Below are 27768 nucleotides of genomic sequence, written 5' to 3'. Positions count from 1 at the left end.
AAGAGAGAGAAAATTACCTTATGTGTGACACTGAATGATTCAGATTCTGCAGGGAAATGAGGTTTCTGGGAGAATGAAGAGCTGTCTGTTGACCTGAAATCTGAGTCCCTTTCTCCCCCTGAATGAGGATGTAGCCTTGCAGACACCAACATTGATTCAAAAACAAAAGGACAACAATGTTTATAAATGATCCCTGAAATCAAGGCTGACAGGTTGTTTGTGTAAGTCAAACTACAAGGGTCATAAGTATATGCTGGTCCATGTGTGAATGGACTATGCTATAAGAAGAAATCTTAGACATAGCAGGTCTTCACCTTATGAGAGTGACACCTCTAGCAACAGATCCCCTAACTGAGGGGACAAAGGCAAGCTGATCTGAGACACACTACATCTGTTCTGGCTTCTTGCAGCCACCATGATGCTATTTAGGGTCTGTATTCCTGGCTAAATAAACCAGAAACAAAATCTAAGGGTAGGTTGTGGGAGAAGTCCCTTTTGCCAATCTGTAGCCCACCAATCCACCTGTAACTCCACACACATTTTCATGTTCTGTGTTATACCTAAAAAATAAATCACACCTTGAAAATTCTACTCCATGCAGATTTCATAATTTACAGAGAAAGACCAGTAGTTCAGCCATTAACCCTTCCCCTCACTAGTGAAATATGGAATGTCAGTTTTTGAAAGAGGGTAACAAGGAGCAGGGCTTCCAGCCCACCTCGCTAGAATCTCAATACAAATGAGAGGCAACTTTGACGAGATAACCACCAAATAAATGCCCACGTAAATTTAGTTTACAATGTAGAAGGTCCCAGAAAAAGTGCTTCTGTATTTGACAAACAGCAAGCATCATCACTAATTACAGAGCAATTTGCGCAACTCTTGAGATGATTTGGAGAAAAGGGAAAATTTAAAAATAAATTCCTTCAAAGTAGTTAAGAAATGCCCCAAAGTAATAAAAAAAATCTTTTCCTTTTAAAATTCATGCAACCTTTCCCTTAAGCAGAACAGAAAAATTCAAGGGACAATCCGTTCCAGAGAAGACACTTCGACTTTGCCTTTAAAATTTTAAATTTCAAGGTGAAAGGAAGGGAGGGAGAGACAGAGGTAGTGGGGAATCCTTGGCAACTCCCTTCAGATTTCTGAACAGAGAAACATTTTCAAACTGTAAACTAATGTTTTCAAGCTTTCAACCGTCAAAGCCCATCTTGGGAAGGTAGTAGGGGAAGAAATCCTGATGAACTTAGTCCAGGATGAGAGCGACCAGTGCTTTTATAATTCATCAAAGTCAGAGAGACAAAACTATGAAAACAGATGCTTGGTGACTACATAAATGATTAACTTGGTGGTTTGTACCGTGATGCTTTAGCTATAAGGCTGAACTCACCTACAGTTCTGTCCCGTTACTCTGTTTTTGTTTGAAAAAAGCTACATCAAATTTCAAACTTCAGGTTTGCATGACTTGCATGTCAGCAAAACCCACTTGTGGAAGAAACTGATTCCATTAATGGTTCTTGATGACTTTTTTTTTGTTGTTGTTAATTCACAACTCAAAATACAGGGTGTGTTCACCATTACAAAAAAATGCATTATGCACTCCAGGTGTTGGTTAATTTATGGTAAAAGAGCATCCTTAAATTACAATACCCAATTGGGTAAGGTTGTTCTTAAAAAACTTGGAGAATATCTTTACTATGTAAATATATAGCAATAAGACTCATGATTCCATGTCCCCAAAAATGAAAATCAATATGAAGGAAAATTCATATATTATTAAATCAATATAGAAACCAGAGGCTAATCTTACAAAGATTCATGAACTTACTCACGGCACAATGACTATACGTTGAGGAATGAGTGGTGCAGATTTTCGATCTCTAACCCAAAATCTGACTAGTCCTAAGTTTACCAGATGTCAATAACTTTTAAACATGCTTTATAAAGCTTCATATTTTAAATTTTACTCTGCCAAAAAAAGGGATTAACCTGAAAACACTGCTTTAGCTTTTTGAAATCAGTCATTCATCCAGATAGCAGAATGTTGGTAACTTAACTTTGTGTGTGTATGAAAACTAAACTATGACCTTTCTTCCCTCTGGTTCTTACAAACAACTTGGGAGACGGAGAGATTTAACCAGATTCTCTAGTGCATGCAAGTGTGACTAATTGTATACATCTACCTCCACTGAGAAGCAGGCATGTTCTGTTTTAGCAAGTTAAACCTTTAAAAATTAAGCGAATTTACTCAGGCCATACTATGAGAAAATATTTATTCAATATAATCTGTATCATAATGCACTCAATTAGTATACTTGGTATTACCATTCTTTGAAAATATATATTCATGGAGAAATAAATGGTCCAAGATTAAGCATATTAACTGTTTTGCTATTAACCACTTACTTCACAAAATTATGCTTATGATTTAAAAACTATAAAAAAGAAAAAAAAAACCACCTTTCTCTCACTTATCTTTCTATAATGTTTCATAATACTTTTATACACAAAATTTTGAAAATAAGCCAACTATATTTATGAAGTCCTAAGTCTTTAAGTATCTGAAGCAATCACTTATATGATATTCTCTTTAAAAATGTTATCTGATTTTCTTAAAATATTGTCTTAATAAAATCGTGTATTCTTATTTGTTTCTTCATTTAAGAATACCAAAATTTGTCTAAATAGCTATCAAACCTAACCATATAGCTATGGCAATAATTCCTTATTTTTATTTATATGACATAGTTTACTAGTTTATATAACTGAAATATAAAAAAGCAGAAGTTAAATAGACAGGAACTATATTCAGAGTGAAAGAGAAATTTACCTAATACTTATTTTTAGTTAGAGTATGTCGTCCAGCTGTAACAATTTATTTGTGCTTTAACTTTGGACATTTTTCTGGCATACATAAGTTAGGGGTTGTAGCTCAATCCAGTGTCACCAGGACACAGCAACATATAAAAATATTGGTATGTTATTCAAACAACTTAATGTAGATTTTAACTTTAATCATTTTCAAAAATAATATATTTACAGTGACAAAAGCATTTAGAAATTATGCTCACTTTTAAGATAATCTGGAAATGATGTTTCAACACATTTTCATTTGGGTAATTTCCTCTCTGTTGTAGCTGCCTTAACAGGAATATTGATTTTAATAAAAATTCTTTAACATTACCTTCAGTTGGATATAACCCACTAGTAGCCCAAATCCATGGCAACTCTTCTAAAATTTGCCCTACAGATTATAAAGGTGAACTATTATGATGAATAAAATAGACATATTTCTCCACATCTTGTTACTATTTAATTCATACAATTTTAAATAACCTAAGGTATACACAATGATTATCACCCCTGCAGGCATGAGACAACAACATAAATCTTAAATAATTCTTAAATCTATAAAAACTTAGTGATCATATCAATTTTCACCCAAGCAGAACAGAAAGATTCAATGCATCATCTACTCCAGAGAGAAAACCTTGAGTTAACTGACGGGTAAAAAAAGAAAGAGGAAAAAATCCATTAACTGTGGCAATATCCAGAATTTCAAACAATCACATTAGAGTAAAACTTTATGCTAAACTATTTGTATCTTTTTTCCCTAACCCAATTTCAGTTGGTTTCTTCATCCGAGTTCCATTATTGCATCACTATATTTTAAGTCTTCGCAAATAAAAAATAATTGACTCTTGATTTGTTTTTTAAAGAATCTCTTTCCTACTTCCTGGTAAGGTTCACAGATTGATTCCTGATTATAACACATCATCTCTCTATTTACTTTAATAGTAAACTTTAAATAATGGGAGACATTTTTTCTGTGCACATGGATGAATGCAAAAACCAATAATGAATCACCGGTCTGTAAAGTTCACATTGTTTAATGAACAGTAACACTTGAGACTTTTCAGAATTAGGTGAGCAGGTACTAAAATAAAAAAACTAAAAATAAGGAAGTTCCTCTACTTTCCTTTTAACTTTCCTTGAATCAGTCATATTTAAGAACTGAAATGTTTATTCTTAAACAAGGAGTATCTCCCTATGTGATGTGGAAGACACGTGTGAGATGGAATTCTATTCTTAGACTTGTTACAATTTTCCTTAGTAATTAGGAAGCTATATGTCCCTAATCGAATGATGCTAACAAGCTCCTGCAGTTTCTACTCTAGCAAGAAATCAAAGAGACCCAAAGCAGACAACTCACTTCAGTAAAAGGATTATGTAGTCTGGTTATCAAAGCGCAGAAAGCTCTTCTTCAATCTTATATGTGAAGAGCTCTCTAAAACAGTCAGATTTTACAACCAATATTACATACTAAATAAAAAGAAAAGTAAAGAGTGGCTATGGAAGGTATTTAAGAGAAAAATATTTAAGATACACAAATTATCAGAAGAGGCCCACCTCAGATAATTCTGGTTTTGAAACTTTCCCAAAGAAAGATGTCATCACAACAAACATGTATTCCTACTTGCAATTTCTCATGGAACATTGACTCCCACCATTTACTGATTGTTACTATTACAGTTACAATGCGTTTGCATCCTTCTTTTAAAATATAAAGCCACGTAAGAATTAAGGGAGTTGGAGTTTTCAAATATAATTCTGAAGGGTCAGTCTAACAAAATACATATTCAGATAAACAAAACACCTAGCAAATGGAAAATGGAAGAGAGTTTGGTCCAACCAACAAGAGCAACACTCACGTACCTTAAGGACTTCCATCGGCACCTGCGTGGCAGAGGGAAGGGTGGTGGGCACACTGACGTTTATGGCTGGTGTCTGACTCACGGGCACTCTCTGTTGCATGAACTGGGCCGCCTGCAGCTTCTGCTGCTGCTCCCTGCGCTCCTGCTCCTGCATCTGCTCACGCATGAGTTGCTGGCGTAGCAAGATGCGTGATGTCATACTGGAGGAGCTTATCGGAGGCTTGGAGGCCCCAGGATGCTCGGCGGAACTGCTGTGGGAAAACCAAAATGCATACAACATTTAGTTTCCTAATGAGACCCTTCGTTTGCACTTTGGGGGTATCCTAAATTGCACCAAACTATAAAATGAGTCTGCGCAAATATAATCAAGTCACAGAATGGTACTCCACATAATTGAAAATCAAGAGGTGACAGGATTTAAGTCATTAGTAGTTGAATTAAAATAAGTCAGCTTGATTGCATCAAGGCATTTTTATCAGGCGGCTTAATTTTTTTAATTTTTTTTTTTTTACATTTTATGCTGCACACTACTCATCACCACCAAATATAGCGCCACCATATGCACTGCCAAGAAGCAAAGCATCTTAATGGCACCCAAATTTCCACATTTAAAAATAAATTGCTTGATTTGCTTTTTTGTATAACTGAATCTAACCAAATAACTACTCCTACATGTTATCTAAGTTCTTTGAAGATGCCTAAAATGTTTACTAACAAATATTGATTAAAGAAAAGGTGAGCTTTGCCAAGAGGAAATTTTTCTAAGATAAAATAAGTAAAAATAATTAATGAAGGAAGCATTTGGGCCAGAATGTTAACACTGAACTCGACCTCGCTCTTTGGGTAAGGGGGCAGAAGACGAGCTGGTCTGACAAGCCAATACTTCTCTGTCTGGTTTTCTTTGTGCTGTCTTTTCTTCTGATTCACCTTGGCATGCCCTCTACTATGTTACAATGTGTTCTCTGTGCATTCCCCATGAGGACTACTTCTAATGGTTTTGGTACTCACTCTACCCAAAATAGTTTAAAATTCTGAAACCCTACTCACAAATTAAAAAGAAAAAACTTCCTAATTTTCCTAAATATGGTTTCTGATAACTTATCTTGCCAGCTCTATGACATCAAGTTATTAAATCTCTCTCTGTCTTAGTATCCGGAAAAGAAGGATAACAATAGTTTTTTACCCACTTACCATTTATAAAGGTGGGAGCTGTTCTTTTAAAATTTCTATAGCATCATGTATATTTTAAAGCCCTACTTCCTAGGGATTTTGGGGGATTAAATAAAACAAGGCACATAAATGCCCTAGTACAATGAGTACCATGTAGTACTGGCTCAACAAATGTTTGCTGTCACTATTATTATAGGTAGAAAATGTTTCATTGTTTATTTCTCTCTCTATATATATTTTTTAACGTCTGTGTTTAGGTCAACGGTTCAAAACCTTAGCACCTGGAACAGAAGAAAAGGAACATTTGAGAAAATATTCACTCTTGAGAAAGTCATGCTTCGAGGTAAGTATTTGTACTTTGAACTTCCTTCCTTGAATATAAACTCTGGTATTATCTTTTACCTTCTAATAAAAGGCAAAATGAAGCCTTAAATATCATTGACCATCCTCATGAGCTCCTTAAAGACAGGAACCTTCAGGCTCTGAAGGTAACAAAACATGCTAGGGGATGAAGAAGTATTGGTTTTACCCTCACGCTATCCCAGAAAAACTACACAATAACAATTTAACAGTTCGCTTATTTTCACAACAGGAAATTGGCTCAGTATATTGTCAGAGAATCAAAATGTAACATGATGCAACCATTAAAACTAGTGTAAAAATATAGTTACTGATGTGAATAAAACTACACAATACAAAGAACTTAGAAAAGCCAGATACAAAATAGTATTTAAGGTAAGATCCAAGGTTTTTTTTTTTTTTTAATAAACAAACTGTCTATGACAACAAAAAGCATAAGAATAATGTTACTCTACACCATTGCTGGTATATATTAAAACAGCTTAACAACACTACCAAAAAGCTAAAAATTGTTCATACAATTTGATTCAGAAATGTTGTGATGGACAATTTTCCTAAGTAAATAACTTAAATGTGCAAAAACTGATATTACAAAGCTCTTTACAAATTGCAAAATATATGAATAATAAAAAATTTGTCCCATACTATGAGAATGGTTAAATACATTATCATATATGAATTCAATAAAATACTACCTATTTTTTTAAATTGTGCAACTACAGAACAAAGTGGGAAATGTATGTAACAAGAGGGAATTTAAAAGTAGGATTCAAAAGTATATTTACATTCTAATTTGAAATAAGTGTGGTATATGCATGTATCCAAGTATGCAAAATGATTAGTAGGGAATGTCCAAAGATCACGATAGTTGCCAGGGTGAGAATAGAACTACAGGTAAATTTATCTTTCTATCATTTTACTCCCCTCAACTATAAAGAAGTCATAGTATTTTTTCAATGGCAGAATATATGCCTCTAGACACTAATTTAAGACCATGAAAAAAGGACTTGAGTGATCAAAATCACCATTTGGCTAGAAGAAAGGGGACAGAATCCAACATAGACAACACTTTGACAATACGATGGGAAAGTGGTGAATATATCCAGTACATTGGCAAACTTGGAAGTGCTCAGCATTCCAGAAAACACAAACCCTCTTTCCTTCATGTTTTCCTACATTTTCTACAGACACATACAAATCGAACAGCATTAATACCTTGCATATTATTTAATATCATGCACTCATCCACATATTAAGGGCACTTGGCCATTATTCTAACTCACTTAAAATAATCTATTCACTTGATACAGCTCTACTAAAAGAGCATTTAAAAATGTATTTTCCCATTTTAGAGTATGTGTTCAAAGCTCAAATGTACCTTCCTAAGCCAAGAAAAGAAGGAGAGCTGTGATGAGGGGCATGGCGGGTGGCGGGGGGAAGCGCGGGGGGAACAGTTATTTTAAAATAAATAAATAAATAAGCGGCCTTACTATTCAAAGCCTGTCAGGTTAAAACATTCCCAGAGAGACTGATCCTTTTGATAAAAACAGAAGCAAACCTTTGTGCTGTAGCAAATGCAGCTGTGGAATAATCGCACTAATTAGCTGCTCAAGACGAGTCATTGGCTGTGATACTGGGGGAAGAAATCCTTTCAATTAACAGTAAAGCATTCTTAAGACATCTTAAATTAAAATTTCTAGTTATCAACTGCACTAAGTCTTCATACGTGAAAGTCGACAACAATATCATTCAAAGCATTTTCTGAAATATCCTGTCTGAAAAAAAAATACGTATGTATGAAGTAGACCAGTATAAGTGAAAAGAAACCCCACTAAAAAATAGAGCAAATATATTTTTATAGTTATATAAATATAGCACAGCTCAGTTAATTGACAGTGTTTTAATAAATCTTCCTGCAAAAAAACCCAAAAGTGCAAAGGAAGCATTAGAGTCGCCTCATGGCACACACTCCCTGCGGGATATTTCCACATTGTGAAAGATGACTCCCAGATTCTCAGCTTTGCTCTCAATCTTCTAAACATCCCTTTCTCTTAGAAGTAACTGAATCTGCAATTATCACCTTCTAGACAAAAACAAGGATATCTGCATGTCACAATGTTAGCAGGACAAATGAGCATAATGTCTTAAGCTCCAAATTGAGGTTTATGTGAGAACATTACAAGTGGCAACAATGCTTATTTTTTAAAACGAGGACGTGATGCTGAAGCTACTAATGATACACAAGGAGAGATGTCCAAATGTATTTAATTTTAAAAGCTAACTGAACTCATCCCAGGCCATGAAGCTGAATCTTCGCTAGATAATCCTAATTCCATGAGTCTGATTCCTTTTAATCAGATTATGTAAAGGTCATTTATTCAACAAATAGTTATTGCCAGGTGCTGGGAATACCTGGTTTCTAATCTCATAGAGTTTAAAGCCACAGTCACATAATTCTTCTGAGACGCCTTAAAATTAAGTCAGTTACCTAGACTACGGAACTCTGATCAAGTCCCACATGGGAAGGTGGGCATCTCACCATCAGAAAGCTCCCTTTGAAAGCCGATGGGCAGAGAGACAAATGCCTTTACTGGCATGTATCGGCATCACTGAAGCCAGGCACACAACTCCCCTGAGAACTGGGAATTTGTCAGCAATGGCTCGAGGAGGAGGGCCACCGATTGGACTCAAGGGCTAGCTCAGTCACTGCCGAGCTGCATGAGCTTTAATGAGCCACTTGACCTCTCTGGGCTTTTCCAAAACCCAGCATTTTAATGTGCTGCAGGGATTGGGTCAGTTAATGTTCACTAAATTAAAGTGTTCAGCACAGTGGCTGGAGGTATACAGACACCAGATGGCCACCAAATGTGACCTGAGTTCCTACCTCTATGGCAGAATTTACATTCTTAACCTTCAAAGCCTCCCTCTTCTCTGTGATGGTATAGGTATTTTGGACATGGGCTCTGAACTATCTGACGTTTTGCTAAATCCCAATACTTTATTCTATCTTTGTCAGCCACCTAACAATATCAGAAATTCCATTAAATTCAATGCTCCAGCATCCAAACATCTGTCTGCCCACCCCTCACCTTTGACATGATGCCAGTGTTCTTTTACTATCTCATAGGGACTGGTCTTTGGTCTCAATATCACAGTCCTCTAAGACAGTACTCTGGTCATCAGTAGAAACCTAGAGACGCTAAAGCAATGTTCTACTTTTCCTTGCGTTTCCTTTAGTCCACTCCTCAGGCAGAGTTCAGCTGGGCTGTGCGGTAACTTGTGACTGTGGCCCAGTTAGTCTATCTCTGTGCTTCGCAATACATCTGCCTCTCAGCACTGTGGTGAGGATTAAAATTTTTAATAGATAGAAAAACTTAGCACAATGACTGAAACATGGTCCAATAAACTGGAATACAGTTCAAAAATTAGTGGTAAAAATAATAATATTAAACCATGAGCATGCTTCTTCTTTTGGATACAAGGAATCTACTTTTTATATGCCTATGTGCAAGTTTGGACCACAGAAGATATGTCTTGTAAAGTTTAGCCAATGTCCATTTAAATGAGAGAACTCAAAAAACTTTTTCAGGGATGGAGAGAGAAGATAATTTATTCTGCAAATCTCTCATGAGCTATAAAGTAGGAATTGTAGCATTTTTATTCAGTAAAAAATAATCTTCATCATAGTCATTTGGTTGACAGAGCTCAAAGCCTAGTATTTGTTTGCACTGATGTACAATTTATTTATGTCCAGGAGGCACAGTGGTGGATATTCATATACACAGTGAAGACACAGGAAGGTTCAATAGTGTTAACCTCCTGGGCAAAGGAGAAACCTATGTCATGTATGGGTTAAGCTACAGGGGTTTCAAAATGCAAAAGGCTAGCTGAGAAAAACAAAATTCGCTGAGAACTTCATCTCAAATAAAAATGTCCAGCCTCATTCCTGGAAATTCTGATTTGTTTAGGTAAGGCCCAGGAATCAATATGTCCACAAAAATTCTGCAGCCAATTCTGACACTTGACTGATTCCGATGTTTGGAAACTAATAGTAAAATACCCAGGATCACTTGTCTGCATAGTAGGAGAGCTGGAACATGAACCCATACCTCTAATTCTTAGACCAGAATACTTTCTTCCATGTCTGAGAAAATTCGCATTCCATTTCTCACCTCCAATCAGCCTTCCCAGAGGTCTGAAGAGTCCTTCTGATACTGAATGCAACATGTTGGATGGGACACAAGGAGAAAGACTACTTTACTCCTGCCAAATAGGCTATGAGACCAAACAAAAACATCTATCCAGAAACTTCCAACGGCCCTTTATGGGTACAGCACAACTGCTTTATCATAAATGAAAGGAACTGATAGGTTGAATCTACAAGAACTGCCCCCAACCAGTCCGTTCCACCAGCAAAAAGAAATTCTTAACAATCTATTGGAAGTGCCACCAACTGCACAAATAAGAGTTGGTAAATGGCTATATTTTTTTTAAATGGTAGTCTGGGTGTCTAACATTTCAGAGTGAATGGCACTTCTGTTATCTCAAACTTTCCATTCCTTCCAAAGTGATTCAGGATGAGTTTTTCACCATGCATGGTGGAAAAAAATACTAATAAGAAACTATATCATCCCTCGTACTTAAAATAGCTGGGAGTGTAACCCATGTAAATGTGAAAGTACCAGATATCATAGTTCGGCTTCACACTGAGATCTTCTGGACTTCTGTCAACACCTAACTTGGGTTTTAGTCATCAAGAAAAAGAATGGAGATCTGCCAAGATTCCACCTTTTTGGGGGTAACATGAGCAGCTCAGATAATAAATACTCCAGGTCTCTGGCATAGCTAAAATACAAAGGCTTACAAAACATAGCCTCATGCCCCACGCAAATGCTTTCCAAAAGCTAGGTGCTGCTAGACATGCAGGATATCATGGTGTCGCAACTGGACAATGCTCCTATCTCCAGAGCTTTGTACATTTCACAGTACATAGGGAGAAAAGCATTCTAAAAATTAAGAACCACCAATCACACACAACTTAAAATCTGAAGTCTTTTCTTTCTAATGCTGAGACCTCAATTCGCTGCTAAAAATGGAAGATGTTTCATATCCATTCAGGATTCTCCACATTTTTTTTAAGCTGGACCTTCAACAGGTACCAGGAAAGACTAATCTCAATGACTGATTAGATAAAAATCAAGGAGAACCTTAATAAGTTTCCCAATATATCAGTATTCTCCAAAAATCCATACCAAAAATGACAACCTGGGTGCAGGAAGAAAAAATTAAAACATTTCTTCATATATATTTTATATTATCACTTTCATTTTTTATTTTTGTACATGTTATATAATAGTATAGTTGCACATGTACATAACTTATAAATCAAATGAAAATGTGTTGAGAAGGTTTTCTTGAAAGAAATTAACTAGGAAGAAGGATCAAAAATGTTTAGAGACCTCTGTAACATACGAACAATGCTCTTCCAGGCAATTTTCATCAGCAGATTTTTTTTAAGTTGGTTATTTTTTTTTTACCAAAGTGTGTCTCACTTATGTATACTCCAACTAAGAGGAATATCAAGTTCTTACTAAAAGATATTTTAAACTAAGGATATGAACTTTGCCATTTCCTCATTTTATGACCACGACTGATCTCCATTTTCCACAGATGCCATTATGGGTTGGCACAATCTTAACACTCAATTCCTTTCAAGGAAATCGCCTCTGAGAGCCAAACCATTGAAAGGTTATGAAGCAGATAAAGTTGAAGTGCCCCACACTCAAGTTTTCTGTTTTTCATATCAAGCTTCCTTTCACTAGACTGTACTCTAGAATTCTTGCTTACTCTGTCCAACTGTGGAATCCCATTCACATCTAACTGCCATGTTTTAAAGGGCTTTGAGAAATTCATCCCTTAAAGTAATTAATACGGCATGGCAAGATGCTCCACTGAGAGTATTTTAAAAGAAAAAGCAATTTTTAAAAATCTAACACAATGACAAACTAATGACAGAATTCAGACATGAGTGTGAAAGGAACTGGAATAAACTTTTTAAAGGTAGAAAGCCCTTCTGTTTGTACTCAAATAATTGTTCCAATCACAGGGCATGCTCTGGCTGTTTTTCTAGACATTATAACAGATCAGAGAAAATTCAAAAGCCTTAGACCACCATCACTTAACAATTACTGCATGTCTAGCACACGTCAACCAAGATGCAAAGTTTCCAACATTGTGTTGAAATAAAGACAAAAGTACAAACTGTAATCTAAGGAGCAGTGAATGGGTACACCTGTCATGGTTTAACAGGCAACCTTACACATAGCAGTAATGATTTATGGTGGCCACATGGCATTTATAGCTGCCCAGCATCCTGTCCCACTTGTTTGGTAAAGTACCTGATTTAACCTTGAATAACCAGCCTCCTTCACTTTCAGTTCATGAGGTTATGGTGTTGTCACTACCTCCAGACATGGAAGTACGACCCTGGCCAATCAGGAAATCCATCCTTCTGGTCACAAAGACTAACTCAGGAATGTGCTTGTGCCCCAAGACAATCAAGTAAGGGTTATCCCTATTCCTTCAACTGAAACTATTAGGTTAAAATGAGTCTCTTTAAACTAAGGTTTGAAAAGCTGGTAGGATGTAAATCTGGAACTTCCTGGATCTATCCGAGAAGAAAGCCAAACTGGAGGAAACAGTAAAGAAAGAACAGAGGACTAATGAGAAGGAATAACAAAGAAAGAGGGAGCCAGTGTTTATATGACATTGAGCACCTGTATCAAATCATTCCTGAAGTCATGATAGCCCTGGACTAACCCTGGACAAGGACTTCACGAGGGCCAATCAAACTCCATTTTTTCTTAAGCCAGTTTGATGTACCCTGGGATACTACAGCTGGTTTTGTAACATTTAAAAAATATCAGTAATACTGGGGAAAAAGTCAAAGTTTCAGCCTAAGACCTACAATTCATAAAACCTAGCACCCATCTATTTTCCTATTTTCTCTTTGTTTTGGCTAGGCACACTCCCACCCACAACATCTCCCAGGTCTCCAGAGCTGGACTGGCTACATGCTAAGTTTCGCCAATTAGATTTAAGTAGATAACAGAAGTGCCAATCACTCTGAAATGTTAGACACCCAGACTGCCATTTAAAAATATATATATCCAGGTGGGTGGATCACGAGATCAAGAGATGGAGACCATCCTGGCCAACATGGTGAAACCCCGTCTCTACTAACAATACAAAATTTAGCTAGGCATGGTGGTACACGCCTGTAGTCCCAGCTACTTAAGAGGCTGAGGCAGGAGAATCACTTGAACCCAGGAGGTGAAGGTTGCAGTGAGCGGATATCCCGCCACTGCACTCCAGCCTGGTGACAGAGCGAGATTCCGTCTCAAAAAAAAAAAAATATATATATATATATACACACACATATATATATACACATATATTTATACACATATATATACACACACACGTATATATACACACACATACATATATACACACATGTATGTGTGTATATATACATGTATATATGTATGTGTATATATATAAACACACACACGTGTGTGTGTGTGTGTGTGTGTATCCATTTACCAACTCTGATTTGTGCAGTTGGTGGCACTTTCAAAACATTCTTAAGAATTCCTTTTTGTGATGAAACAGACTGGCTTTTTTTTTTTTGCCTGTTTTTTTTATTAATTCAAATACAACTGACTACGGCAACTGTACTATAGCATAATATAAATTAAAGATCAAATATATACATCTCCATGGTGGTTCTAGGTGAAGAAAAATAGGAAAGAACAAAGATCCTCAAGAGTCTTCTAAGACAACCCCAAGAACACCACCGAAACTGTTTTCTGGAGTTCTACGTAAGACTCCATTTCAACATAACTTAAAGTTTACATCTTAGGAGATTGTGGGATCCTCAGCTGGAGAAGGACATGGGGTGAGAGGTATTGTGAAGTGAGTCATACGAGCAGGAGGAGCTTCATACGACCCATCTCATAGTACCTCCTGAGGGGGAGGCAGTTCCTATAGATTCAGCCTATCGGTTCCTTTTGTTTATGACAAAGCAGTTGTGCTGTACCCACAAAAAGCCATGGGCAGTTTATGGATAGATGTTTTGGGGTGGTTTCATAGCCCATTTGGCAGGAGTGAGTAGTCCTTCTCATTTGATTCCATCCAAAACACTGAATTCAGTATCAGAAGGGCTTTTCAGACCTCTGGCCAGGCTGACTAGAGGTGGGGAAGAGAATGTGAATTTTGTCAGACATGGAGGAAAGTGTCCTGGCTTAAGAATGAGAGATGTATGTGGGCTCATGTCCCAGCTCGCCTACTAAACAAACAGGTGATCTTGAATGTTTTAGTATTCATTTCCAAACATGGCTGAGTATCAGAATCAGCTACAGAAAATCTCCTTCAAATGATCCCCTTCTCTAAACCTTCTGCCACCATGTCTCCTGTAATCTGGCTGCACTGGCTGGAGCTTCAGAAGCCATCCTGAACCATGAGAATGAGGGCCAGACTCAGGGATGAAACTGGTATGTGCTTGGTCCTTCATGACCTGGTCCAATCTGCTCCAGGAGGGCAGAGATGTTTACATGTTTTATTCACATATTGTCTCTCCAGCACATAGTAGAACAAAATAAATATTTGTTCAGTGAGTAAAGTTGGTGTCTGTCTCCCAACAAATATTCTACCTCATAGAATCTAATAATACTAGAACCTTAGAGTTGGTGCACCCTTATTCAAACCATTTGCTTGAATCATCCAGAGACGGAGAACTCTGGGCTCTAGGGATCTACGACAGTTCCTTAATTCTAAGAGGAACTTTCCCTCCACATGTTAAGATTTCCCAAGTCAGAAGAGATCATATAATCAATGAATATATTTTAGTAAGTTTCTTTCTCCACCAAATAGCTGTCTTTTTTTTTTTTTTTTGAGATGGAGTCTTGCCTCTGTCTCCCAGGCTGGAGTGCAGTGGTGCGATCTTGGCTTACTGCAACCTCCACCTCCCAGGTTCAAGCAATTCTCCTTTCTCAGCCTCCATAGTAGCTGGGTTTATAGGCCCGGGACACCATGCCTGGCTAATTTTTGTATTTTTAGTAGAGACGGGATTTCATCATGTTGGCCAGGCTGGTCTTGAACTCCTGACCTCATGATCCACCTGCCTTGTCCTCCCAAAGTGCTGGGATTACAGGCGTGAGCCACCGCGCCCAGCCAATAGCTGTCTTATAATCAATGGTGAACTGGACTCAGGGAAATACACCTGGTAGACGAAAACCGTGGCATCAGGACCAAACACGGCCCCTCAAGAGCTCAAATGAGTTACAGTTTGGTAATTCAGAAATCTAGGGATAGGAGAAACCCACTAGATAAAAAAGCAGAGGAAGAAATATTGATTCATTTAGTATCTTAAGTGAAAATCCACAGACCACAACAGATAATAGCATTAAGCCCTGGAGCCAGGATCCCTGGGTCAAATTCCTAGCCCTGTCATTTCTTAGCTGTATCACTTGGGCATGGTTTTTCACCTATCCAAGCCTCAGTTTTCTCAGCTGCAAAATGGGGGTGGAAAGACATATCTTCTTCATAGAGCAGTTGTGAAAATTAAATGTGTTAATACAAGCACAATACTTAGCATAGTTCCCACAAACCATGTGGACATGAGTAAAAGTTAGGCAATGAATTCTTCTAGTCTGTGTTTTAATTCCTGAAATGGTATCTGCTGAACATCTTAATATCTAAAAACGAGTCAAAGCTGACAAGTTACTTTCTAGGGAGCCAAAATTCTAGAATGCTGCCTTCTGCTATCATGTTCCTTTTCTTTCCTAGAGGAAAATACAAAACAATTAATTCACAGTGTGTGCTCTCCTAAAAGAATACGCACAGAAAAGTTAATGGGCAATAACTCAGTGAACAAGTTTTGTCAAACGTGTTTGTGAAGAATTTCATTCTGAGAGTGTATAAGGGAAGCATGCTCTTACGACAAGTATTTTAGTTAACTAAAAGAATGAAATTCAAAATTAAGAATTAATTTGGCTGTGAATTCAGGTTTGACATTACTACCATTCTTACGTAGAATCAGAATAGCAAGTTTCATTTGTTCATGCCATCCATTATTAATATTAAAAAATTAGTAAGTTAGAGTATATTTTTGTAGAGAATGAATCACAAAGAGTAGACATCATCTCCCCAGCTAGTATCTCATTAATAAGGCAAAAATTTATAACATTTCTAGCATAGTGACATTTTAAACACATAATTATATATACTTTGTTTAGAAAATGCTCTAACATTTTATAGAGGTGAGTAATTAAGCTGTTATGACGACATAAAGAATGAAAAAAATCTAAAGTATCTGTTAAAACAAACTGCAGCAGAAATAGAAGCTCAAGAAGTTAGAAATCATTTTTAAAACTACCTTTTATAAGACCTTTTAAAGATGTATCTACTGAAAATGATGAACTTTAACCCACACTTAAACTTATGGTAATTATATTTATATTTTTTAAGAATCAAATTCTAAAAATAGATCTGCTACATCTAGTATTTTTCCATTATTCTTGCTGTCTTTAAACACACCTTCACAAGCTGCTGAACATAATGCCTTTCTGACTTAATCAGAACCTCTCCCATGACCCAGGAACGTTCAGTAAATAATGATTAAGCTCCAGAGGTAGCTTTTGCATAAGTTGATTTGCTTGAATGCCTATTCACTTGGGGACACAGCTTTTAGCACTGTTTTCAAATCTTATCACCTAACAGTGAAAGTAAATGTTAAAGGATGTGGGGGGAACTATACTCTGTTTAGTTTTTCTCCATTTTAATATTTCTTTGAAATTGCCATTTTTTAAACTTGTTCTACATTTATATGCCAGGCAGACAATTCTGATGTTTGGATGTCTGTTTCCCCTTCCAAGAGAAAAAAATCAATATACAAGAATGCAAAGAAGATGTTCATTAATGCAACTGTTACCATTCCACAGTCAGGAAAAAAAAAAAAAAAAGGTGGGGGGAGAAACCAAAAATTCACAGTGTTTACAATGGGAGAGTTTGGACAAATGTTACTACTGTATTAAACACACAGTTTTCCTGAAGAAAATCCTGTTTTATTCATAACAAAGCTGGGCTGCAGTCTATCTTGCAATCATAAATCAAGCTCTGCTCTAACTCAGATTTTTCAAGCAGTCGCGGTATTTTTGTCATTATTAACTTAAGACCAGTATTCAATTTTAAAGGAGAGGGCAAGGATATTGGGTTAGCATTTCTATCTACCACCCCCACCCCCACCCCCAAATTAGTTGTTATCCTTGTCATAGCCACCTACCAGAGGTTACAGCTGAAGCTGATTAAAGCCAGTGAGAAGTAACAGCTTCAGTATTTTTAACTCCCAATAAACCCTTCTCTTCCTTTATCCTCCCCCTTAAAGAGAAAAAAAACTGCTCCTCTTAAGTGGTCCCGGGATTATTTCCAGAATAAAACTTCACTTACAGATACAAGCTTTCAAAGGAGCATGGCATGAACATCTGAACTCTAAGCGCCTCCATCTTTTTTCCTTTAAGGTGTTCTGCAAGCCCTTGGCGAAGAGTGAAAGTCAAAGTTAGTTCTGGCACTGGCTGTGTCACTAGGGGTGGCTCCTGATAAGGCCCTGGAAACTCCAATCCAAACACAGCTCTGTGCTAGAACGGTGCCTGGTTTCTGTCTGCAACAGCAGACCTGTTTAATCCAGTACCTACTGTACCTGCAGGACAAAAACGCTGCCTCACACCACAATGAGGGCTACTCAAGGACCCAGGCACGGCCAGGGAGGCAGCCCAGCAGCCAGGCAAGCACCTCGGGAAGCTTATTTAGCCTTACCCAGCTCCGGTACTGGCTGAGGCTTGCAGAGACTGCACATTATTAGAGAACTTAAAAGGAGAGGTAATTTCACATACCAGTGAATTGTCAACACTTACTGGAGTCACAGAATCTAGGAGGGAGGACTGTGGAACTGCTTGTGTCCCCTCTCAGTTTGGGAGCTCTCGGGCATCAACTCATCACACAACTCTAGGTGTTTTGCATCTGTGCACAGGCATTTTTGGAGCTTGATAATTGAATATGCCCTCCTTGCTGACAGGCTAGAGATCCAAAACAGCATTCCTTACCCTCAGACCCCAAGAATATTAGGAGGGTTGTCCTTGCCCGGTTCTGGTGGAAGTAAAACACAAACTGCTCCTAATTATGGCCACCATCTTTCAGGACACACAAATCGTTAGGCCATAAACTGTGTATTCTTAAGACTGTCATCCAATCTAATTCTGAACACATTGGTATACAAGAAGAAAAAACAGCAATACATGTTCTCAAAAAACACTTTAAAATGCAGACATGACAACATCAATATTATCAAATATTCATGCAGCTCCTACAGGACTCAGCACACCAAAGATGCCCTACAGAGTTGTGAAAATATTGTATGTATGTTTCTCCCTACACACAATTCAAAGGTCATAACAAAGACATCTGACACTGACTAGCTGCATACACTGGGCAAGTTACTTCACCTCTCTGTGCCTACATTTATCTCCAAAGTAAATGGTTGGAAAATAATGCAACCTCTTCAGCCATAATCAAACTCAAATTACGTGATATAATGAAATTATCTTTTTTTTTAACTTCCCTCTAATGCTAGGAAATATCTAGCCAGGAGTCTCGGCCAAACTATTTCTGGTTCTGTTTATTCTCTGCTCATTTTATTCATTCTTTCTTTCTTTTGTTCAATAAATATTTATGGAACACCAACTGTGTCCCAGGCATTGTGTAAATTCGTGGAGTTTACAGTCTAATGGGAAACACATATTAAATAATCACATAAATATGTAATGAAAAATGTCATAACTGCTGCAGAGAGGTGAAAAAGTTAAAATTTAAGGGTCAGGAAAGGCTTTCCTTAGGCAGGGACTTCTGGTCTGAGATCTGAGTTGGGGAGAGGAGGAGTATAGAAAAAATGCTTTCCAGGCAGCAGTAACAACATATGTAAGAACTATGAGGTGGGAAGTTGGCAGGCAGACTCACTATCACTGAAGGACATAGTATGAAGGAAAAACATGGTGCCCGTGAGACCTACACAGTGACCAGGACCAGACCATGAAGGATCTGGTAGGCCAGGGAAAGGTCACTGATTCTGTTTCAAGATGAACAAGAAACCACAGAGAGATGGCAAGCAGGGGAACGATGAGCTCAGATTTGAGTTTTTAGAAAGGTCTCTCTGGTTGCTATGTTGACAGCCAACTAGAAAACTGTCAGAGTTAGCTACTGCAATAGTCCTGGTAGGAGGTGATGGTAGCTCATGGGAAGGGCAGATGTGCAAAGTGGAGAAAAGTGGGCAGATTGCTCGTAAAACTAAGGACCAATAAATACGATTAGAGGAGAAAGTTCATCAACAGCAGTCATTGAGCACTTTCTACATGCCAGGTACTGTACCAGGTATTGGGGTAAACAGATGACTAAGATGTTACACTATTTATCTTACTAACCTATCCCACCTCTCTTTTCCTGCCTCTAGCACAGTTTGGCATGAAAATCAAGAACATAGATTCTGACGTTTATTTATCCAGGTTCAAATCTCACCACTTACTAATTCTATGACTTTGTACAAATTTTCTAAACTTTCTGGGCCCCAGTTCTTTCACCTGAGAAAGGAGAAATAAGTGACTACCCATAGGTTATTGTTAGAACTGAAAGAGATGACAAGTAATGTGTTCAGCATTGTCTCTGATGCATAATAAACGCTCAATTTTTAAAAAAGCTCTTACAATTATAATCATGGTTAGTGCTACCTGTCCTGTATTAATATTGACCAATCTAGAGAACTAAGAGAAATGAGACAGAGTGAAAAAAACAAATGAAAAATCAAGAAAGTGGAAGAGCAAGAAATAAAGAAAGGATAGGGAATAACCATATCAGAAACTTTAAGGGATAATTTTCTAAAAAATCAAGCCAGGGACGGTGGCAGATGCCTGTAATCCTAGCTACTTGGGAGGCTGAAGTGGGAGGTTTGCTTAAGACCAGGAGTTCAAGACCAGCCCAGGCAATGGAGACCCCATCTCTTAAAAATAAATTTTAATGAAATAAAATAAATAAAAGTTCAAGCCAGATTTTCTCTCTCACCTTAGGCACTATTTAAAGCTGAGTAAACCTACAAGGCACTCGGGTACATCTTAGAACTGAAACTCTGATTTATTACATGCTCACACACAGGGAAAATCTGTACCCTCCATGAGTTCTCAAATATTGATCACGAAACCAATGGTATCAATTCCAGCCCTTCCCGAAGGGGACATAATGTGGTGCCAAATATTCCCCTGGCAGGTTCAGCCAGTAACATCACCTGACTTTTTATGTTGGACAATCCACCGCCTCAAGAAATATTTCTATTGACAATTTACACCAGTACTTTAGAAAGATCTACCTTACAGTACAGTTCTAAGGGAACCTTCTTGGATACAGCAATGAAACGTCCACTAGCAAATGGACCAAAGCTTGGCTTAAATATGAACACAGGCCACCATATACAAAATTCATGAGATGTTACGTGCATTTCCCAGCACTAAAATACTGCTCCTCAAGTCATCACCCAAATTAACGAACACATGTCTTCTGGATATCAAGAACCATGTCCGTTTGGTTTAATGTTGTATCCCTAGAACTCAGCAGAATAAACAGTCCATGGCTTGATGAATATCTTTAAAATGAATCAACGTAATATGTAAGCAACTGTCTTGGGCACATCTGTACTATTCAGATGTGTTTCCTGAGTTTGTATACATATATGTATATGCATATGAACACACACACACACACACAGAGGGAAAGAGAGATAGAGAGAGATACCCAAATCCTAAGTTTAAACACAGACTAAGAATTTGTAGTGTGGTTGGGGAGGAAAAAATAATATCAGAAAAACTAAGCACAAAATGCAGAATAAAAACATCACCAGTACTCCAGTGCTTCTGCAATAATAAGTACTACTCTTTGCCCTAAATTGCAGCAAATCAACTACAGTCATCAGAATTCTTACTGACCCTTTAAAAGCTGAACCTTAACTAAAATGGGATTTAAAGTAATCAACCATCCAAGTGACAGCCAACTTTTTCCTTGGAAGCTAAACTGGGTTTCAGAATCTTTTTGGAAGGAAAAATTCAATCACTGCTTTGAACAGGTTAGAAAAGAGATAAGGGATTTTACTTGTTATCCTGTCCAAGACTTAGCTGAAGAAAAGTAATGCTACTGTTTTATCATAGCTCAAAATTCTTCTTATTTTATTTAGGCATTAAATGTTTTATTGCCCAGCCCGAGCACACCATATTTTCTTATATTCTTTCTTTTGATAGTCATTTTTCTTTCCAGTAAACTCATACTTCTACTCAATAGCCCCACAACAGTTAACACTTGAGAGCTTACTATGTGCTGGGTCCTATGTTGGCCCATGAACTACACACAATTTAAGAAGCATCTACTTGGTCTTGGAATGTTTCATTATGATCCCAGCCAATGGTTCCCCAACCTGTCTTCCTATCAGAAGCACTTGAGGAGCCTTCTCCTTACCCCACCTCCTTAAAATAAATACAGGAGATTTAAGAAGTATAAAGTTCAAGGATCTTTCCCCAAACAAATGAGTGAGTGAGATTCTGCAGGGGTATGGTTTAGAATTCTGTGTTTCTAAAAAATGATTCTCATAGGGGTCTAAAGTGAAGTCAAGTCTAGAAACCACTAATATATAATATAACATTATAATATATATAGCTATATATAATATTATCTATGTAAATGGTCTGTTAAGAGTGGCAGGAAAATACTCAAGAATGGAAGCTCCTTTTATTTATTGAATAAAGAAGTTACTCATACATTTTAATTCTTTAAAATATCCATGTGGAATGTTCAATGAAAGCCTTATTGTGGGGTAATTAAAGAGTTTCATCAAAGTAATAATGAAACTCACAAAGTACTCTCAAGAGTAACACACACATCTCTTTTGTCCAGATGGCCTCACACTCACATTCTGGGAAAAGTCACATGCCACCGAAAGGCCCTTCAATCCAAACATTTATTAGTTTTCCCAGCATGTGTGTGAGAGGCACTGTTCTCAGCGCCATGGGGAAGACAAGGATGAAGATGCAAGAGGCTCTGCTTTCCAGGCGTTCACTCCAGAGAAACCCAAGACTCACACTCACATGCCAATGGGAAGAGGGTACAGGGAGGACAGAATGCTAGAGCCCTCTTCTCTCTCCTCTGCAACTCCTTCCCTGGCCTGGCGCCTCCTGACCTGGCAGATGATGTTTTGCAGGTCTTATATTTCTTCCTCAGAGAGGTCTTCCCAGACCATCCTTCCTAAAGAAGAAACATCTCCTTTTGTTTTGTGCTCTTGAAGCAAGCTTCTTTCTTTTATAGCACTTAATTCAACTTGTAATCCTTTTATTTATCTATTTGTCCTGTGTTCTTAAGGGCAGGTTCCTTGTACTTACCTTTTTCTCAGTGCCTGGCACATAGTAAGTATTTAAATATTTGCTGGATAGATGGATAGAAGGAAAGAAGAATGCATGAATGACTGACAAAAATGAAAAAAGGTCAGATAAGGAAGGATCTATGAAGTATAATTTGAGGGTAGCATTTAATTAATTATGAAGAAAGTCAATAGTCATAAATGGGATATACAACTGTGTACTCTTTATTTGCAAGCTTTTAGTGGCTGAGCACAACTCACTTTCATGCAGAAAGTATTGGGGTACAAATTTGCAAGGAACTGGTCCAGCGGCTCTAATTTGAAACCATCACAGCATGACTGAAGAAAATTTTTAATGACTACCTACTTGCAGAAATAACTGTGCAGTAGCACTCACTCACGTTTATCTCTTTCATCCTGTTTCTATTTTTTTCTCCTACCAAGAACAGATCTGCCTGTAACAGTGATATTACAGCATCCTCTCAAAGACAGCTCATTGTCCCCGGAAACCAAGGAAGCCCTTCAAGGTTGAAAAGGGAAATAAAGAAGAGACTAAGATGACCCCACATAAACCTGATTGGGATGCAGCCCAACATTATTAAAGAATGGTTAAGATATTTATACAAACATCCAGAAGGAAAAATTAAATGTTTTTAAAAACTGTTTCAAAGAATCTGTCCAGAGGATAAAAATATAGTCTACAAAGAGGCATCTCAAATTCTGTCTAAAGTGAATTTTTTTTTTTTTTTTTTTTTTTTTGAGACGGAGTCTCGTTCTGTCGCCCAGGCGGGAGTGCTGTGGCGCGATCTCCGCTCACTGCAAGCTCCGCCTTCCGGGTTCACGCCATTCTCCTGCCTCAGCCTCCCGAATAGCTGGGACTACAGGCGCCCGCCACTGCGCCCGGCTAATTTTTTTTGTATTTTTAGTAGACACGGGGGGTTTCACCGTGGTCTCGATCTCCCGACCTCGTGATCCGCCCGCCTCGGCCTCCCAAAGTGCTGGGATTACAGGCGTGAGCCACCGCGCCCAGCCTAAAGTGAATTTTTAAGCAATTAACAAACAAAAATATATAAAACATTAGCATGACTCTTTAATATAATAATCAATACCACGGATTAATCCCTTACCTTAAACTCTTTGATATTCTCTCAGTGTTCATCTCAAAATAAATACTTGTTCCTGCATTAAAGGTTATGTAGAGGCTTTTCTTTGTTATCTATAAATGGCAACCAGTATTTGCAATAAGAAAACTACAATCTAGAATATAAACAGAGTAGGTGAGACAACACAAAGTTGGAGAGAACACACTGATGAGATTATGCTGCTTTGATAATATTTTTAAATGAGAAATTTAGTAAAAATGCAATTTACTATCTTATCAAGGTAAGTAAACAGGAAAAGATAAGGCCGTCATCAGTGTGGGGGACAAAGTTATTCACAAGATGACTTTACAATAAATAAAATCTCCACATCAGCACCTGAAAATCATGGTGTTTTTATCTCAATTTATGGGTTAACTCTTTACTCATTTAAAAAGAAAAATGTGGACATATATTTTACTGTTAGTAACTTTTTTTAAGTTATGAAATATTGAAGGACAATAAGAATATGAATGTCTCTGCCTATCTTTTAGGGGTGTTGTGGATTGAAACAGGAGAGTGCATCACCATCATCTTCATCTACAACATCAGTTTCTTTCTTCTTCCAAGCAGGAGTCAAGGTATTATAATATTTTAAAGCAACATGCAATTCAGCTGTAGAAGTGGCCTCCATGGACCACCTTGGCTAAGCTCACAGCCGCTGAGATGAACCCACCCTTCCCTTGATTCCATCTCATTAGGAGATCCCAGGACATCAGCAGTTCCATGGACCATCTAAATCCATTCTGGTCCAAGGAGGAGCCAGAAGAAGGGACTGAGATAAAGAAGACAGGGATATTCTGCCATCTAGATTTTATAGTCTATTCATATAAATTAAATGTTTGTATTCCAAAGAGTGAGCAGAAGGTAGAGAGACACTGTTTCTTGCAGACAACGATGCCATTGTGGAAGGTGGTATGGAAGTCACTGGTGTGCAAAACCTCCAATTTGTATAAGATGTGGTAAGGATCCAGGGCAGTGGTTTCAACCTGTGGGAAGCAAACTTCTGAGAGGTCTGCTATTTAATAAATGTGTCACTCCTATGGATATAAACATGGCACCATTTTTCCAACTGGAGACAGGATAGTGTGGTGATTCAATGCAGACACACACACCACCCTTCGTATCCTAGTTTTACTCTGGGTAAGGCATTCGACTTATGAGTCTCAAGATCTGCATCTATAAGATGGGAATATTAATACTACCTATTTCATAGATTAATACTATGATTGAATGAGATAAAGTATGAAAAGTACTTAACATGGTACAAGAAAAATAGCACTCAATCAAGGTGACACAAGGAGCGAGGACTCTATTTCAAAACATTGTTAGGTAATGAAAAGTCAGCCCTTAGAGCCTCAAAGAACTTTAAATTCTAGGGCAAATAAAAGTTATTATTTGGAGACAATGCTTAAGGTAGTTTTGAATTTTGATATCTTAAGAGGTAGTCCAGATTCAAAATACATGTAAGTTCAGGAAAGGTATAGATAAATCTGTGAATAATATATTCATAGTGCATAACTAAAGACTAAATATTGATGGTATCTGTAACTTCTGATAGTAGACAACAAACTCTGTCTTTTCAGTGGTTGTCTTAGCTACAAACCAAATTCTAGTCCAGGAAACCTTCTGCTCTGATTCAGTGTGTCAATCATAATTTTTGTTTATATTTTTTCTATGTAAACATACCCAGGAGTCACACAGGAAGTCGTGTATTTAAATAAGTAAAACTATAAAAAATCAAACCTCTTTATGCTAAATAAATCACCTTATGTTAAATTTTTGCTAACAGTCAAATTTCTCAAACTTTTAAAGCATCTCAAAACTTACTCTCATACTAATGACATCCTGTTACAGTTATGCTGAGCAAACAGGATTTAAAATGAGAAAAATAATATTTGCACAAAAATCCTTCCTGTCTGTTGATTAATCATAATAAACTCTAATCAATCATAATAAACTCAATGCACATTAGCTTTCTGCATCTAATTGACACTCTAGGGAGTCTTACCTATAATCAAAGTGTATATTAATGTTGATAGTAAAATATTCAAATAACCAATATTTTAAATTAATAGTCTGTAATTCCAATGAATATTACCATGAAATAATATAAAAGACAAATTAAATCCTTACTTAAAATATTGTCATGTGTTCTTAAAAAAATAATGCCTAAAAAAACTACTAAATTCTCCCCTTAACATTTACTACATATTAATTACCTGCCAGATATAACAGGTAAGGCTGGTAATACAGATATAGAGAATAATATAAACCATAATTTAAGCTTATCTTGCTCCTAATATCAAACAATATTGGTTCATTTTTAAAAGATGTTAACAAAATCATGAATAAAAGAAGGAAGAGTCAAAATTATTAAAATCCATTCATCCACTAAACAAATATTTATTGAGCACCTCCTATGTCCCAGGCACTGTTCAATAGGCTTAAGATGCATAACTGATATATCATGATTATTAAGAGAAAAATGTTCTGGGGTAATGCTGAATGCTCAAATTATTTATTAATTTAAACAGACAATGTGAAAATTGAATGCATTTGCAACCTTTAAACACCATCTACAATGATATTCCCATTAACAAACATGTTTAGTTCCTATACTTGATCTAGATCACTGCATTTTCATTTATTAGCGTGTTGGGAAAGAAACATGAAAATTTGAAAAAAAAAAACCATGAGATCACGTCTCTGCCTTATGTGAAAAAAGAGGAAGGAGGAGAGAAGAGACATGGAGAATTGTTTATCATATTGTCACACTGATAACTGTATCTCATATTTGCATATCATACCCCATGTTTATTATTAAACAAATCTTTTTTATTTAAAGAAAGAAACTGGGGGGGGCAGGGATTGAGATATGAGTATCCTGTGCAAAATCAAGAGGTTAATGTGCCACAGGTCTGGAGTTTGAAACTCCAGAGCCCACACTTTCCTCTCTATGGTTCTCTGTTCCAAGTTTTTGTAATCTACCCAATGAACACAAAAGCAAACTAATTCTAAAATTAGAACCTTGCACTGGAGTTGCCTCTTTACTTGTCTGTACCCCACACTAGATTCTGAATTCCATAAAGGCATGAACCATGTCTGTTTAGGTCACTACTTCATTCTTTCACCACATACAATTCCAGACACAGAGAAGGCACTCAATAACTATTCACCAATAGGTTAAATGATTAATTAATTGACCATAATGGCTTCTCTTGGCCACCTCTAACGATGATCTGACTTAAAAAAAACAAAAACAAAACAGAACAAAAAACACACACAAAAAAACAGAGAATGAAGCAGACTTCCCTGAATATTATACCAAGCATGAATTCAATTAATGGCATTTACTAGAAAGAAACAATGTTTGTCCTCAAATAATTTAATCTAGTTAGAAAAGAGACTAAGAAAATATGAGATTACAAGGAAGAAAAAAAAAGTAACCCAACATATCAACACAATTTATACTTCTTAATAGAAGAAGAAAGTTCTCAAAAAAGGAAATAATTTTTCAAAAAGGCTTTCTAGGGGAAACAAGGTCTTTGGAAATTTGGGGGAGAATGATAGGCTTCCTTTGAGAAACATGGTAAATCTTGAGCAAAAGTTCCCAAAGTGTGGGATACAAGATGATCTCAAATAGAGATGTACAGACTTCACATTAACTAAGCATGGAATCACACAGTGAGAAGGGCCCTTTCAAATTTCTTCCATCTAAGGAAAGTCTCTGTTTGATGCTAATATGTCTTCAATCTCTCAACACTTGCCCTTTGTTCACAATACAGGTCAGACCTCAGACACCTGCCGGTCCAGACAATATACCTAGCAAGAATCTAACAATTTTCTTTCAATTTCATTATATTGATTTTAATACCTATTTCCATTC

General features: G+C 37.0%; 1 protein-coding gene across 9 annotated transcripts in view, besides 2 other annotated features; it reads right to left on the bottom strand.

Moving 5' to 3' along the window:
* Window positions 1–27768, bottom strand: part of MITF (melanocyte inducing transcription factor) — a 228869-nt gene that overhangs the window by 84236 nt on the left and 116865 nt on the right. For 6 of the 9 annotated variants that reach the window (NM_001354607.2, NM_001354608.2, NM_001354604.2 and 3 more), the window contains one exon: window positions 4714–4963. In NM_001354607.2, the coding sequence (NP_001341536.1) occupies window positions 4714–4963 (250 nt within the window). Of the gene's footprint in view, window positions 1–4713; window positions 4964–17750; window positions 17874–27768 lie in introns of those variants that run through there. The other 3 variants (NM_001354605.2, NM_001354606.2, NM_198177.3) reach the window with 2 other exon arrangements.
* Window positions 17819–20021: a promoter, noted in NCBI's record as "-2153 to +48 fragment for MITF-H promoter". NCBI's record gives its function as "promoter in D407 retinal pigment epithelial cells" and the evidence as "EXISTENCE:reporter gene assay evidence [ECO:0000049][PMID:10760582]".
* Window positions 17904–18005: a transcriptional cis regulatory region, noted in NCBI's record as "-139 to -36". NCBI's record gives its function as "positive regulation of transcription" and the evidence as "EXISTENCE:reporter gene assay evidence [ECO:0000049][PMID:10760582]".

This window comes from Homo sapiens, chromosome 3, assembly GCF_000001405.40.
Source record: "Homo sapiens chromosome 3, GRCh38.p14 Primary Assembly".
NCBI lineage: Eukaryota > Metazoa > Chordata > Mammalia > Primates > Hominidae > Homo > Homo sapiens.
The sequence above is the reverse complement of the archived record's forward strand: the minus strand, read 5'-3'. Positions and strand labels throughout refer to the sequence as shown.